Genomic DNA, 15,196 nt, shown 5'->3' on the forward strand with positions numbered 1-15,196 from the left:
TGGTGGGTAGTGACGTGAGTGCTTCTTAGAACCATTGATGGTTTATAAATCACCAGTGCAACCTATGCTTTTTGTGGATAAAAAGTGACACAGTTGTAGATTGAACTAAGAAACGATGTGGCTGAGTACTAAGTTAGTGGTGCAGAGTGTAAGGGAAATGGGGATATAGACAGAGGGTCAATTGCAGAAGGCTTTCTTAGAGGAACTTGACAGAGAGGGAAGTCATCCTAGAGAGAAGGGACCAGGCACCAATGTTTGCAAACCACTTAGAACAATGTCTGGCCCATACTAAAAATGAGGTATGTGTCTATTAAATAAAAATGCCCAACATATTTTTATGCGATCAGAATTTTATTTTATTTTTTGTTTACACATGAATATAAAAATATAGAAAAAGGCTTAATTCATGAAGTTGCTATAGGTTTCTCTTTCTCAAAAGTGCTCACATGAGGGTCACAAGAGCACTTATTTGTCAGACATTTGTACACTATATACTAATTCTAGAAATAGCATCTTCAGGAGACCCCAAACCTGAGGATCACATGGACCCAATCATATCATCTGTGTGAAGAGACCAATCCTCAGAAATATCAAGAAAGTGAGATGGCTGCAGAGGTTGAGCCTCCTGAGCCCCTGCTTGGTGACAAGGGACCTGGGTATGCTCTTCTTCACTGAAGACACAAGGTGGACAATCGCAGTTGGGCCTTTGACTGGACTGTGACAAGCTGAACACCTCGTAGCATTTCTCATCCTTCTGGGCTGTGGCCCTGCTCTTGCTGGCTACTCTCATGGAGCAGGGCTTGGTGAGCCATGGGGACTTTTGGGGGGCAGCACATGACACTGGGATCACAAACTTAGATGGCGTGCCCTTAGAAGAGTAGTGTATCTCAGTGCTGTAGATAACCATGTCCTGAGAGACAGCTTTGGCCCTGATGCCACATTCAGTAACACGGTAGGTGAACTGGTAGGCGTGTGGCTGAACATGGTTTGGGGGGCAACCCAGGCCCAAGTGTAGTTCATGAAAGTGTACACACACATCGTTGTTTAGCATGAAGGGGTGCACTGTGACCATGAACCAGTCTATGGAGCACAGCACAGTCATTGGACTTTGTCCTGAACCGGCTGAAAACGCAGAGGTGAGGAGGATCATCAGTCCTATGAACTTAAAAACTTTCATCCCTGCAGCCAATCAGATAATGAACCACAGGAAACAGGAAGCCGTCCAGTGAGGATTTCTAGAGCACAAAAAAACACAAGAGGCAAGTCATCTTATTTTCTATTGAAAGTTCAAACATGATATATTTTTTAAGCAAAGGGCTGTTCCTAAAGCATTAAGAAGAGGAAAACACTCATTTGAGAGAGAACTGAACTTTAATTTCATTGTTGGAACTCACGTGTTTATGGACGATTACAATGGCTTTTTAAAGTGACTTTCCCATGCTGTTCTAGCATAAAACACATATCCCTAATATGTAGAACAACAGTTTACACTGATCAGGAGTGGCATCCTTTTGTGTTTAACCTCAAGATGAACCCAAAACAGAACAGTTTTTGTGTCAAACGTTGAATAAAGAGATAGGAGATAGAGTTTAATTCAAGATGGCAATACTTCCCTCTTTAGGGGCCTCCATGTCCTCTCATAGGCCATACTAATGAACCCTTCCCTATCGCTTTTTTGTTGTTGTTACAACAGATTTGATCAAATAAAAACCTATGAAGGAATTGTGGTTTATTCTTAACAACCAGATATTGAAATTTTGCCGAGTGGCTTACTTAAAATGATCAAACGAATGCTTCATAAACTCTGGCAGCAGCATCATAAGTCATTATGACCAATAGAGTCCCTGATAAATTCTTTAGGACACCTTGTAAAATACTAAAATTGTGGAAACATAAAAACATGCTGGTTTTTAATTTTACATTTTTCAATGCATATTACACATGAAAACTACCGTAAAAGTCTTATATTAAAGAAAGGGGCGGCTTATGCCCATAATCCCAGCATTCTAGGAAGCCAGGGTGGAAGGACTGCTTGAGCCCAGAAGTTCAAGAGCAGCCCGGGCAATATAGTGAGAGCCTGTCTCTATAAAACAATACAAAAAACTAGCTGAGTGTGGTGGTGCACGCCTGTAGTATGAGCTACTCGGGAGGCTGAGGTGGGAGGATCGCTTGAGCCTTGGAGGTTGAGGCTATAGTGAGCCAAGAGTGTGCCACTGCACTCCAGCCTGGGCAACAGAGAGAGAGAGACTCTGTCTCAAAAAAAAAAAAAGGGAAGAAAGAAAAGAAAGGAAAGAAAGAGAGAGAGAGAGGGAGGGAGGGAGGGAGGGAGGGAGAGAGGGAGGATTGAGTTTGTACTTTACACATTGATTGACAAGATATCTCCTAAAATCTTTGCATTACGTCTTTTATTTTCTCTAGCTTTTTATTGTTTTCTTTTTCCATAGGAAGCTCTGTGGCCACTTCCTAGTCCTATTGCTTCTAGCTCTCAAAGAGTGACAGGCAGACCAGTGAGGAGAAAAAGCAGTGCTAGGAATAAGTATCTAAAACATGCTATCAGAAGGAGGTAACAGATGAAGAAAGAAGAAAGCAAGAGCAACATCATCCAATGTTTTCCAACTCAACTTTCATTTTACAAGTGAAAATGACATAAATCACATAGTAAAGTACCTAAAGTTTGGAAGGAAATGTACATGCATATAGGGATTCACTTTTGTTCCCTGCTGAGATAAGTAACCCCTGCACAAATTCATTCTTTGACTAATATTTGTTGAATGCCTACTATGTGCACGGCAATGGGCCAAAAAACGTCCCAAGACATTTCTCTCTTCTCTTTTTCCCCAGTTGCAAAAATACAGCTCTTTCTCTTCCCTTGATAGTGACGAATTTGCTGCATTGTTTAATGGAAACCATGGCACAGGAGCCCGCTAGAAAAACGCACTGGCCTGGATGAAATGTTTTGTTTCTGATTGGTACGGATTGGTCTCACTGTCTTTCACTCTGCCGTTAATGATTCCTCATTCTCTCAGGGGTGTTGTGGGTGTAAAAGAGAAGCCCCACAGGTCTGCCAGGCTCCTTCCTCTTTGTTCCTTCTGAAATGTCTCTTCTGGGACAACTTTTTTGGGTTTTTTTCACAAAGCAAAAGTAGAAGCAGCAGCAACAAACAAAAACCTACTCCCTTTCTCTCCCCCGCACCAAAAATCCCCAAAACAAACAAAAAGGAAACAATAATAACAACACAAATAAGTAAATTCTGATGTGAGCTGGTCCTGGATGACTCAACAGTTAAGTAAAGAAACCACCTGCTCTGGAATACTGCATAACATTTGCTGAGGTGCCTTTTGGAAGCTGAGATAATCACCCCATCACTACTGCACTATTGTCTTGATCTATAGAAGACCACCTTGTCTTAAATGTGCTTTAGGTGGGTTTTCTTTCCCTTCCTGCCTCTCTCTTTTTCTCTCTCTCCTTCTTTCCTTCTTTCTTTAACATCATCCCACAACCTGGGCCTAATTGCCCTGAATGAAAACCTCCTCCTTAAGTAGTTCTGGACTAGGCCAAGGAAACAACTGTTTTTGTTCAAACCCCAAAATTAACACCCAAGTTTAAGGCTACTCTTTTCCAGAGAGCTAAGCCATCCATTTCCTCCCCCTCCCTCAAGCATCTTTCCTGTACTCCTTCTCCTCCTTCCCCAAAGATAATCCAAATATAATTATAAAATGTCTAGAATTTCTGAGAAATGAGACTGTTGTCCCTCAAGCAATCATTTTAGACTACCTCACTTCCCACCCCCACACGTTCACTTCTTGTATTATGTTGCACTGAGTCAGTCTCAAAGGAAGGGGCTCAATAATGTCATTGAGTTTAGGGGTTCATTTAGTACAACTCTCCAAATTTGAACACGGCAGAATCTCTTTCCTCTGACTTTCATAAAGCCAAGAACAGCTCACCATGTGATAGGAGAAATAAACGAAGATGACTAGGCATGTGACAGCACACCCTTCAGCTCAGATAAAGCTTAAAGAAGAGGTCACTGAGACCCAGGTTTAAGGTTGCTCATCTCTAAGGGGAGAGAAAGGAGATTAGGGGGAAAGCAGAATGTACTTTCTAATGAGCTTGCGAATGCCCAGCTCATTGGCACACTTTGAGACTTACTCCTTCTTGCTGAGAACAGATCCTCAAAGCAGGGCAGCCTCCCTTCTCCTGCTACCTGCAATTCCTAGGGAAGGGTAGAGTAGTGTGTGTGTGTGTGTGTGTGTGTGTGTGTGTGTGTGTGTGTGTGTGTTTGTGTGTGTGTGTGTGTGTGTTGGGGGACGGTTATTATTATTATTGTTATTATTTGAGACGGAGTCTTGCTCTGTTGTCCAGGCTGGAGTGCAGTGGCACGACCTTGGCTCACTGCAACCTCCGCCTCCTGGGTTCAAGCGATTCTTCTGCCTCAGCCTCCCAAGTAGCTGGGACTACAGGCAGGCACCCGCCACCATGCCCTGCTAATTTTTGTATTTTTAGTAGAGATAGGGTTTCACCATGTTGGCCAGGCTGCTCTCGAACTCCTGACCTCAGGTGATCCGCCTGCCTTGGCCTCCCAAAGTGCTCGGATTACAGGATTACAGGCGTGAGCCACCACGTCCGGCAGGGGGGATGGTTATAAGTCATTCACAACACAGTGTGAATTCATCAGCTGACTTTTCTAACACCTTGCTGAGATGTGCTGGAAGAATGGGATCCCGAACAAGGGAGGGAGAAAGTGGGCTCTAGTTATTGGGGGCAGAGGGAAAAGAAGGCTGAGGGGTTAGAGATGGGAAGGAGATGCCAGAAGAGAGGGCTGTGTGGGGGTGCCCAGCTGAAGGTATTTTTAGCCATCATGCGGGCCATGCACAGTATCCCAGGAGCTGTGGGCAGAATTCTATTTAAAGTCTTTAGAACTCTTTAGAGCTGACGTGGAGTTGGGGACTGGGGAAGAAATAAATGCAAAGAAGGGAGCACTCATTTTGGGACTACTGTCCAGCTTCTTGGGGAGGCCTCTGTGCTGAGAAAAAAAGCAGTCTCAGGGTCTGTATCACTGTAGCCCCATTTTGACTCGATTGCAAATTAGCCTTGCAACATGCCCGAAGCAATGAGCCTAGATGCATTTGTATAGCCAAGTAGGGCTCAGCTGTTGGTACACAGCGTCCTGAACTGAGCTATAGAGAGGTCAGGCAAACCCAGAGCTTCTAATAACACCTGGATGCAAAATGTTTGCTTTCCTTGAAGCTACAGAGTACAAGTAGCTTTCTGTTTTTTTGTAAATGGAGTTTATGCATATACATTTCCCACTAGCTCCTTTAACAGAGTTTTCCTCTTTCCCTTTTTTTCAAGAACTCCCTAATAAGCCTTAATAAATTTTCTACATTAAAAAATCATAAAACATTTCATTTTGGGAATATAAACTGTATTTCCTTTCTTCCCTCATAAACACATATGCTCTTTTAATTAAGTTCAGAAAAATGCCAGTGTTTATGTTTAAGAGCTATCTATATCAGTCACTGACAGTGATACAATCTGATTAGCAAAGCCAGACTGAGATCTCGTAGTACTTGTGAAACCAAGACAGCCCTTTTCTTCTTATAGACAGGAAGAGAATGGATTGGCCAAAACAAAAAAAGGAAAGAGGAAGAAGAGCTGCCACTTAACTCCCCCATCGTTAAATTTTTTATGCTGAAAATGCTGCTTATAAAGTTCAGCAGTTGTTTTGTTTTTAAATTGACAAATAAAAATTGTATATATTTATGGGATACAGTGTTCTATGTATACATGTAACAATGATCTATGTTTACATTGTGGAATGATTATTTTAGATCAAGCTGGTTAACATGACCATTGCCTTACTTTAAGAAGTAGAGAGTAGAATGGTGGTTATTGGGGTGGAGTGGAAGGGGTAAGGGGAGATACTGGTCAAAAAGTAAAAAGTTGCAGTTAGACAGGAGGAATAAGTTCTAGTGATCTATTGCACAGCATGGTGAGTTCAGCCAATAATAATATATTGTATATTTCAAAATGGCTAAGAGGGTAGATTTTAAGTGTTCTTACCATGAGCTCTATTTCTTAATGTTTTATAATGAAGAGATTGAATATTGGTCTAAGCACAGAGCATTTTTAATCTCAGGACCCCAAAAAAATCCTTTTAAAAAGAGACAAAAGCTGAAGTCCAAATTAGTTTTGTGACGTTAGAGAGAGAATTGAGAAGTGTAAGAGAAATCGCTTTGAAAGCAGACAGGATTTTTTGCCTCCCCATCTCCTCTGATGTCGTTAGAGACACGTATGAACTCTTTGCATGAAGAATGGGAAGGGGAATTAGCTAAACATTTCCACATCTGGTTTTGGAACGGTTTGGAAAAAGAATTCACTCCATAGGCTCCTGGAAGCTTTTTGGGTCGACAGTTATTTATTTTTAAAATTCAGTATACTCGTGACAGCATAGTTATCATTTGTATATTGTTTTCCCAGAAACTTGTTGTCAAAACAAAAGGAAACAGCAGGGAAAAGGAAACTCCAAAGCAGCATGCAATTATCTCAGGGAAATGTAACTGTCAGGGCTTTGATTTGCAGCAAAGTTTGTTCACTCTCTTGCAGCTGATTTAAAGAAAAATGAATCTGAGTCAGAATAAAGATTCTTTTACAAGACAAGAACGGAAAAAAAGGAATCCTAACACTTTGTGGGTGCTTTAGTTTAAACATTCAAGCAGTCACATTCTGACTGTGACCTGCAAACTATCTCAAGGTTTGAGAGCCTTTTAAAATGGAGGTTCTTTTTAAAGCCCAGTTTTAAGGAATTAGTTGGTTCACTGCTCTCAAAGAAAGTGACAATTGTGATTAATACTAATGATGTTGAAAGTACATTAAAGCGAGTTAGAAAATTAAATAACTGCTTTTGTAGAATTTACATTAATTTTAAAGACGCTGAGACCGGTTTAGTTTTCCAACCTCATGAAGCACAGTGTTAAAGTAACCGCACATTATTCATCATTTTGTGTGGAAGAAGAATTATGAACTGCTAATGCTTAACAATGTCCATTTTCTCAGCAGAGAAAAACACCTTGACCGAACCCTTAAAAAGGCTTCATTAAAATTAAACTAAAAAGCAGCCATTAAAAATTTATTTCTGATTCTAAAACTAACTGCAGAAAAATTGGGTGGTGTCGAAAAGAAAAAAGAAGGAAACACCCTTCTCAACCCCCAAATAACCATTGTTAAATTTTTTATATATTTCTAATTTGGGGGGAAAGTATATGTCCACATATATGATTCAAAATTATCTCGGGGGAAAAAAGTCAAGGCTTTTTGAAAGCTGTTTTTAATTTTTGACATTGAATTTTAAAGCAATCAAAGCATTATTTTTGTTTGGGCCATCTGGTTTTGTTCTTATAATCTGTTAAGCTATCAAGCATAGTTTAAATGTCATGGTTCATCTCATACACAAATAAAGGTTGCAAAATAAATAAGAATCCAAGCTCCTTGTAAGAGAGAAATTTCCGCTGGGTCGCAAATTTGGTTACTAAAAGGTGAGTAGTCCAATGTGAAATCAAACCATAATAAGGCTACACAACAAGGGTAAACCATGCCCTGACTGAACATAAATATTCCTAAATAAATACAGAAAGCCATACTTTAGAGGAAATTGCAAAGATCAGGTCATGGGAACTCCTCCCCTTTTGTGCAGAGAAGCTGAGTTGGTTGAATTTTAAACTTGAACAAAGAGATGTATTTCATAATTTCCATGAAGTGTGAGGGACATCCCAAATGTATGCCCCTAATTCAGTTTATGTTTTAACTTAACAATTTATTTGAGTTTGATTTTTTTCAGAAAACTACACCCTTTTCCACAAAGCCCCAGAGTCCCTTCTCATTTTAAAAGACAAGGTAGGTTTGTGTCTGTGCAGACCTCTCAACTCCACGGCAGCCACGGCCACATTTTTAACCCATTAGTAGTCTCTGGGAGTCTGCCAAAACCAGATAAAGGCCCATTTGCCTGAGGTGATCTGAAATCATCAGAAGGCAGAGGATTGAATCAGATGTTCCTTCAAGGGCTTCACCACCTCTTTGATACACCTGTGTCAATAAATGAGGGCTCTAGATGGCTTCCAAAAATGGTCAGGCACATTCCCGTCTCCCTTTCAAAATTGGGATTTTTGAGTACAGGTTTTCTTAAAGTGAGGTGCACGCATATGGCCCCTTAGGTGTGGCCTAAGTCCAAAATAAACCACAGTTGACTTTATAGGCTACTTGGCTGATTTTTCACTGACTTGACCAGAATGCATCTTTCCAAAACCCAAAGCTACCTTGTGCATGCCCCACCCAGAATGTGGTCACTTGGTGCATGTGTATAACATCCTGACTGAGGCCATTCACCATCATTTGGCTCCTGAGACGTAGAGAAGGTTTTAGAAAAGGTTCCTTTGATAGGAAGGCTGTTGGTCATTGTTAGCGAGCCTACAATTTGGGAGGCATGCGTGCATATCGGAGTAGGTAAAGATGCATTGCTTTGTGATGAGGACATTGTAGGAAGATAAATTTTCTCTCTCTCTCTCTGTCTCTCTCTCTCTCTCTCTCACACACACACACACACACACACACAGTGATGGAGAGACAGACACACACACACATACTGAGGAGAAGAAAATCCCCAAATCTGTTTCTTACTATTGCCCTGATCCCTACTATTTCTCCCCATTCCTTAATTATTGTACCATAAATTCCTTTAAAAATGGGGTCTTGATCTACTATAGTATCTGGTACACAGTAAGTACTTAGTAAATATTTTTTAAATGAAAGAAGGAAGAAATTAATGAATGACCACCAGAAATCACCACCTGCCCCTGTGCCTCCTTGTCCAGCCCCTAAGGGCCTGAATCTGGTTATTGGCTAACCCCTTCCCCCACTCCTTCTCTAGTCTACCAGTTGAAGGCCTGGGGTAGCAGTAGAGCCTTTCTATAATAGTTAGAGAGTACAGAGTCCTAACAAGCGTCCTGGCCTGTCCACTTGCACACCTGCTTATCTTCTAGGATCATTGATGCCAAGGGCTCTATGTCTGTCCCATCCAACGGTACCCAATGTCCTGTCAATTAGCTCTTAGTCAGTGACTCCAAGTGCAGCCAGCACTCTTTGTACCCCTTTTCCTCCATCCCTGTGATAAGTCGTCCTCTGGAAAGAAGACAAAGTGGAACTCTCCCCTAGTCTGGCCTTTACATGGGAGGAAAGAAGAAATTATCAAGCCGTATCTAGACCAAGTCCAGGCAATTGAGAGACAGCATAATCAGAAGCAGAAGCCTCAGGTTCACGAGGTACTGAAGAATGGTGGGGTGCCTCGAAGGGGCTTGCTAGAGTCCCCAAGTTTACCCAGGCAAATGGACTTAGCCCTGAGGTTGTCCAAGGATTCCCTTAGCTAGAAAAAGGAACCTAAACCACAGGCTGGATATCTGTTCCTCCTGAGAGCAGACCTACACATCCACTCCCAGTTCCATACACAGATACAGAAATCAGAAAATGCTAGAGGTTCTTGGGAAATCAGAGGCAAGATGGGTGAATTCTCCCCTACCCCAACTTGACCCTTGGCTCCCTCTGGGCTGGGCTTTTCACTCTGCCAACTCTGGACTAAAAGAGAGATCCAGGCTAACTTCACGTCAGTTTGAGTGTCCCCGAGCCTGAATGTTCCCAAAAGTGCTTTGCAGTTGACCCCATATCCACATATGATAGAGTATTGTACTGGTAAATATCACTATACACTTCTCTGATCTGGACTTTCTATATAACGAAGATTTGACTTTGGGTGTGATAGCTCCTTATACTAGCAATATCAAAAAACATAACAATTTTTTAAAAACTAGCTGGATGTGGTGGTGCGCACCTGTTGTCCCAGCTACTTGGCAGGAGGATTGCTTGAGCCCAGAGTGAGACCCTGTCTCCAAAAAAAAACAAACAAAAAAAAAAGAGCAAGAACAGGGTGTTGAGCCGGGCGCAGTGGCTCACGCCTGTAATCCCAGCACTTTAGGAGGCCAAGGCGGGTAGATCATGAGGTCAGGAGATTGAGACCATCCTGGCTAACACAGTGAAACCCCGTCTCTATTAAAAATACAAAAAATTAGCCAGGCGTGGTGGCACGTGCCTGTAGTCCCAGCTACTTGGGAAGCTGAGGCAGGAGAATTGCTTGAACCCAGGAGGCAGAGGTTGCAGTGAGCTGAGATGGCGCCACTGCACTCCAGCGTGGGCGACAGAATAAGACTCCGTCTCAAAAAAAAAAAAAAAAAAGTAGAACAGGGTGTTGGTTTGGTGCCTTTTTCCTGAAATTAATTACTTGTTTAAAAAAAAGCAATTGGTTAAACTTGTGTTCATCATTTGCATATTATAATACATAATATTTTAAAATACACCATATATAATGTTAAAAATAAATATAAAAGTCTTATCATATCTAATAATATATACATATATGATATTAATATAATTATTAACAACAAAAAGGAAGTTTCCCCCCACTGGTAATCTATCTTCCCTTAACAAAGAATGAAGGACTTTCTTTCTGAAATTTTTCTCCAGGACTGAGACTTGAACTTACATCACTGGACTACAAATGTTTAGGAATACCTATCTATGTATTCTATATCTATGTATCTAATATTCTATATATACATTATATATCTATATCTATTCTATATCTATATATTCTATATAGCTAGATAATTATATATACATATATATGTATAAAATTATGTCCTCCCAGCTGGGTGTGGTGGCTCACGCCTGTAATCCCAGCATTTTGGGAAGCTGAGGTGGGTGGATCACAAGGTCAGGAGTTCGAGACCAGCCTGGCCAATATGGTAAAACCCTGTCTCTACTAAAAACACAAAAATTAGCTAGACATGGTGGCACATGCCTGTAGTCCCAGCTACTCAGAGGCTGAGGCAGAAGAATCGCTTGAACCCAGGAGGCGGAGGTTGCAGTGAGCCAAGATCGTGCCACTGCACTCCAGCCTGGGCGACAGAGTGAGACTCTGTCTCAAAAAAAAAAAAAAAAAATTGTGTCCTCCCAAAAAGATATATTGAAGTCTTAACCCCTAGTGTTCAGAATGTGACTTTATTTGGAAATATGCTCTTTACAGAGGTAATCAATATAAAATGAAATCATTATGGTGGGCTCCAATCCAATGACTTATGTCTTTACAAAAGGGGAAAATGTGGACACAGAGACAGACACACACAGAGGTAAGACAATGTGAGACATGTAGGAAGAAGGCGGCCATGTGCATCACTCCAATGATGTGCCTGCAACCCCAGGAACGTCAAGAATTGTCAGCAAATACCAGAACTAGAAGAGGCTTCTCTAGAGCCGTCACACAATATGGCCCTGCTGACACCTTGATTTTGAACTTCCAGCCCCCAGAGCTGTAAGACAATACATTTTTTGTTGTTTTAAGCCACCCAGTTTGTGTACAGCAGCCCTAGCAAACTAACAATTATATCTTCCCAACAAATGGAACAGACACACATGCCTCCTTTCTGAGATAGGAGCCTGCAATTATTAATGTTCTGACTCTGTGTTTTGTTACAATCTTAAATTCCATTTAGAATTAGAAATATGATGAAGCAACAAGGAATAGAGACAAAAACTTAGAAAGAAAGGGGCCAGTTAAAAGTGGTATTGGTGCTGATATTTGATGCCTACAGGAGAAACTGAACTAGAATTGCAGTGTAATATCAGGGAGACGTTCCCAACTATAAAAGTTGTCCAAAAATGGATGGAGAAACCTAGAGTGAAACTAAGATCTCTTTGTTCCCTGTAGGCATTCAGTTAGAGGCTGGCTGTCCACTTGTTGGGGTCACTGGAGAGGGAGATCCTGTCCTACGTCAGAGGCTAGAGTAGATGATCTTTGGCCGGGTGCAGTGGCTCACGCCTGTAATCTCAGCACTTTGGGAGGCCAAGGCGGGCGTATCACCTAAGGTCAGGAGCTCAAGACCAGCCTGGCCAACATGGTGAAGCCCCGTCTCCACTAAAAATGCAAAAATTAGCTGGGCGTGGTGGCGCATGCCTGTAGTCCCAGCTACTCTGGAGGCTGAGGCAGGAGAATCGCTTGAACTGGGGGGCAGAGGTTGCAGTGAGCTGAGGTCGCGCCACTGCACTCCAGCCTGGGCAACAGAGAGAGAGACTCCACCAAAGAAAAAAAAAAGATGGTGTTTAAGGTTCTATCACAGAATGCCTCATGTGTGCATGCATGCGTGTGTGTGTGTGTGTGTGTGTGTGTGTGTGTGTGTAGTGGAGGGATAGATTAGCACATGTATTATGAACAAATGCATGCATGGGAACACACACACATACATACATCATGCACACATACAGAGGTTATTTATGTAGGTCTTCTCTTGAAAGTCTTACAATGTCATTGATGCCTGAAGCCTCTAATCCTGAGATACGGAAGATTATATAACATTTTCTAACAGGGACTTGACCTCTCAGCCAGGTTTTTGTTGTGACTGGATGTGACTGTGTATTGGTGGCAATTACAAGGGGAAGGTGGCAGGGGAGAAGGGAGGGCAGGTCATGATATAGAGGAAAATACTCAGAATGATTCTAAGTATTAGTCATTAAGAAAACAAACCAGCTGGGCGCAGTGGCTCACGCCTGTAATCCCAGCACTTTGGGAGGCCCAGGTGGGCGGATCACAAGGTCAGGAGATGGAGACCATCCTGGCTAACACGGTGAAACCCCGTCTCTACTAAAAATACAAAAAATTAGCCAGGCGTGGTGGCGGGCGCCTGTAGTCCCAGCTACTTGGGAGGCTGAGGCAGGAGAATGGCGTGAACCCGGGAGGCAGAACTTGCAGTGAGCCGAGATCGCACCACTGCACTCCAGCCTGAGTGACAGAGCAAGACTCTGTCTCAAAAAAAAAAAAAAAAAGAAAAGAAAAAAAAACTCAGAATGGAGCTTACTGCCCAGCCCTAAAGCCTGGGGGTGGGGCAGTGGAAATGGTCTTTCTTTCTTTCTTTTTTTTTTTTTTTTTTTTTTGACATAGGGGTTTGCTCTTTGCCCAGGCTGGAGTGTAGTCGTGCAATCACAGTTTACTGCAGCCTCATCTCCTGGGCTCAAGCGATCCTCCTGCCTCAGCCTCCTGAGTAGCTGGGATCGCCTGGCTACTTTTTTTTTGAGGAAATGGTCTTTCTAAGCAGCATGGTCTCTGAAAGCCTGAACTGGGGGTTCATGTGATGCCTGTCTTTGGGGAATTTACAGGAGAGCTGATCAAGAGAGATAACAGGAGGGAGTTATCTACTGGGGTGGGGCTGGGGAAATCTCTAGACAAAAGATATCCAAATTAAAGCAAATTTCTTGCACCGAATTTAAAAGGTTGGGGCTCTGATCCTTGGAACTGCAGTCTATGGAGGCCCTGTCACAGTTATAGGGCAAATGTTCAAAGTAGAAATACTTTCTATTTCACCTAGAAAGTAGTAGTAGTGATGACTTTAAAAATATATATTTATGCTTCTTTGCAATGTCTTAAGTGATTACAGAAACCAGGGGTTCTAAAAAGCTTGTTTAAACGTGTATGGATTACATATGGCAACAAATCTCAAAATACAGCACTTTTGCTTTAATTTGGATATCTTTTGTCTAGAGATTCCCCAGCCCTACCCCAATAGAATGCACTCCCTCCTGTTATCCCTCTTGATCCTTGCAGCTCTCCTGTAAGGGCCCCAAAGACAGGCATCACATGTTAAAACTGTGGAAACGGGGGTCCCAGAAGGGCAGAGAGCCTTGGCCAAGATCAAGGTTAGATAAGTCAATCGGGGCCTCAGGCCTTTCCACCAGCCCACCTTGCTTCTCTGCCTTACAACTCAGAGAAAAATGGCCAGACATTACAATAAATTTAATCACCATGAAAGAAAAGGAAAGTCCTGAGGTGGCTTGGCTTCCGGACTATGGCTCTAAAACACTTGGGTGATTCTGCTTCAGTGTCTGATGGCTGAGTTTTTAGGAGAGGGGACAGAATCAACTTTAAAACTGAGCAAACCAAAGCATAGAGGGGCTGTGGGAGCAATTTCCCATGCATGACTCGGGGAAGCTGAGAGAAGCTCTAAGATGGTATGTGGCAGTGAGAGACAGGGACAAATCTTTCCTGAAAACAACAAGAGGAAGAATGGAGTGTTCTCAGGCTTTCACACAAGACTTGTGTCACAAGTTGGAGAGGGGAGACCCAGATAGACTCCAGCTGAGCGGTGGTTTGTGCTTTCCCGGAAAGCTGAGGCCTCTAGAACTTAGGACAGTGAGGGCAGATGCTCATCCCTAGGAGGACACCCACATCCAAGAAGAGCAGATAATTCCTGTATTCCAAGAGCTCTGTGCACTTCTTTATGAACCTGCCCTGCTTCCACCAAACATAGCTATTTCTCAGGCCAAGCCACCAGTTCTAAAATTGATCGCTCTGCATTTACGCTGGGTATAAATAGATATAGATGGGCCGTTTAATTTCCCACGTGGCTACCTTCCGCCAATTGGAGCACCCTTGGGAGTAGAAGAACAGAAAGAGGTTCAAGGTAGGCAGGCCACTGGGATTTTTGAAACTTGGATATTTTGTCTTATACAAAGAGCAACAACTTTTCTATATGCCCTCAAAAATAATCCTACTTTTTAAAGCTTTCTTTTTACACCTAAGTGATGAGAACAAAGACAGAAACTGGGTCCACCCACTAGACAAAACCTTTCATCATAGGCAGTTGCTTAAACGTAGCGACTGAGATTCCCGCAGAAAGAAGAAAGGAAGGAAAACAGGAAGGAGGGAAATGGATATATATTGAGACACTGTATTACTGTGTTTAGGGCTGTACGTGCAGTATCTCACTTAACCCTCATAGCAACTCTGTGTGGTATTATTATTAGCTTCCTTTTATGGAAGAAGAATTGAGGATCAGAAAGGTTAGGAAATTCATTAAAGACACAAAGGTCATAAGTGGCAAAGCCAGAACGAGAAGCTTCTATAGTTCTCTGTCTAGTCTATGCCAGTGCCAAGAAAGTAAACACAGTGAAGGTGTTCATAACAGAGGACATAAAAGAGTGGCAACGGTTGTTTATGGGTATCAGAGTCTAGGGTGGTGGAGAGGTGGGGAAGTTAATAGCTTTTCAAGCAGGGGAAATTGAGAAAAATAGAGGCAATAAATGGGAGACAGAAATTCAAGGG

General features: G+C 42.3%; 1 protein-coding gene across 7 annotated transcripts in view; it reads right to left on the minus strand.

The window, feature by feature from the left end:
• Nucleotides 1–332: 332 nt before the first annotated feature.
• Nucleotides 333–15,196, minus strand: part of PLAC1 (placenta enriched 1) — a 198,485-nt gene continuing 183,621 nt past the window's right edge. For all 7 annotated transcript variants that reach the window (XM_047441789.1, XM_011531257.3, NM_001316887.2 and 4 more), the window contains one exon: nt 333–1,235. In XM_047441789.1, the coding sequence (XP_047297745.1) occupies nt 539–1,177 (639 nt within the window). In that variant the 5' untranslated portion in view covers nt 1,178–1,235 and the 3' untranslated portion in view covers nt 333–538. The remainder of the gene's footprint in view (nt 1,236–15,196) is intronic.

This window comes from Homo sapiens, chromosome X, assembly GCF_000001405.40.
Source record: "Homo sapiens chromosome X, GRCh38.p14 Primary Assembly".
Lineage (NCBI taxonomy): Eukaryota > Metazoa > Chordata > Mammalia > Primates > Hominidae > Homo > Homo sapiens.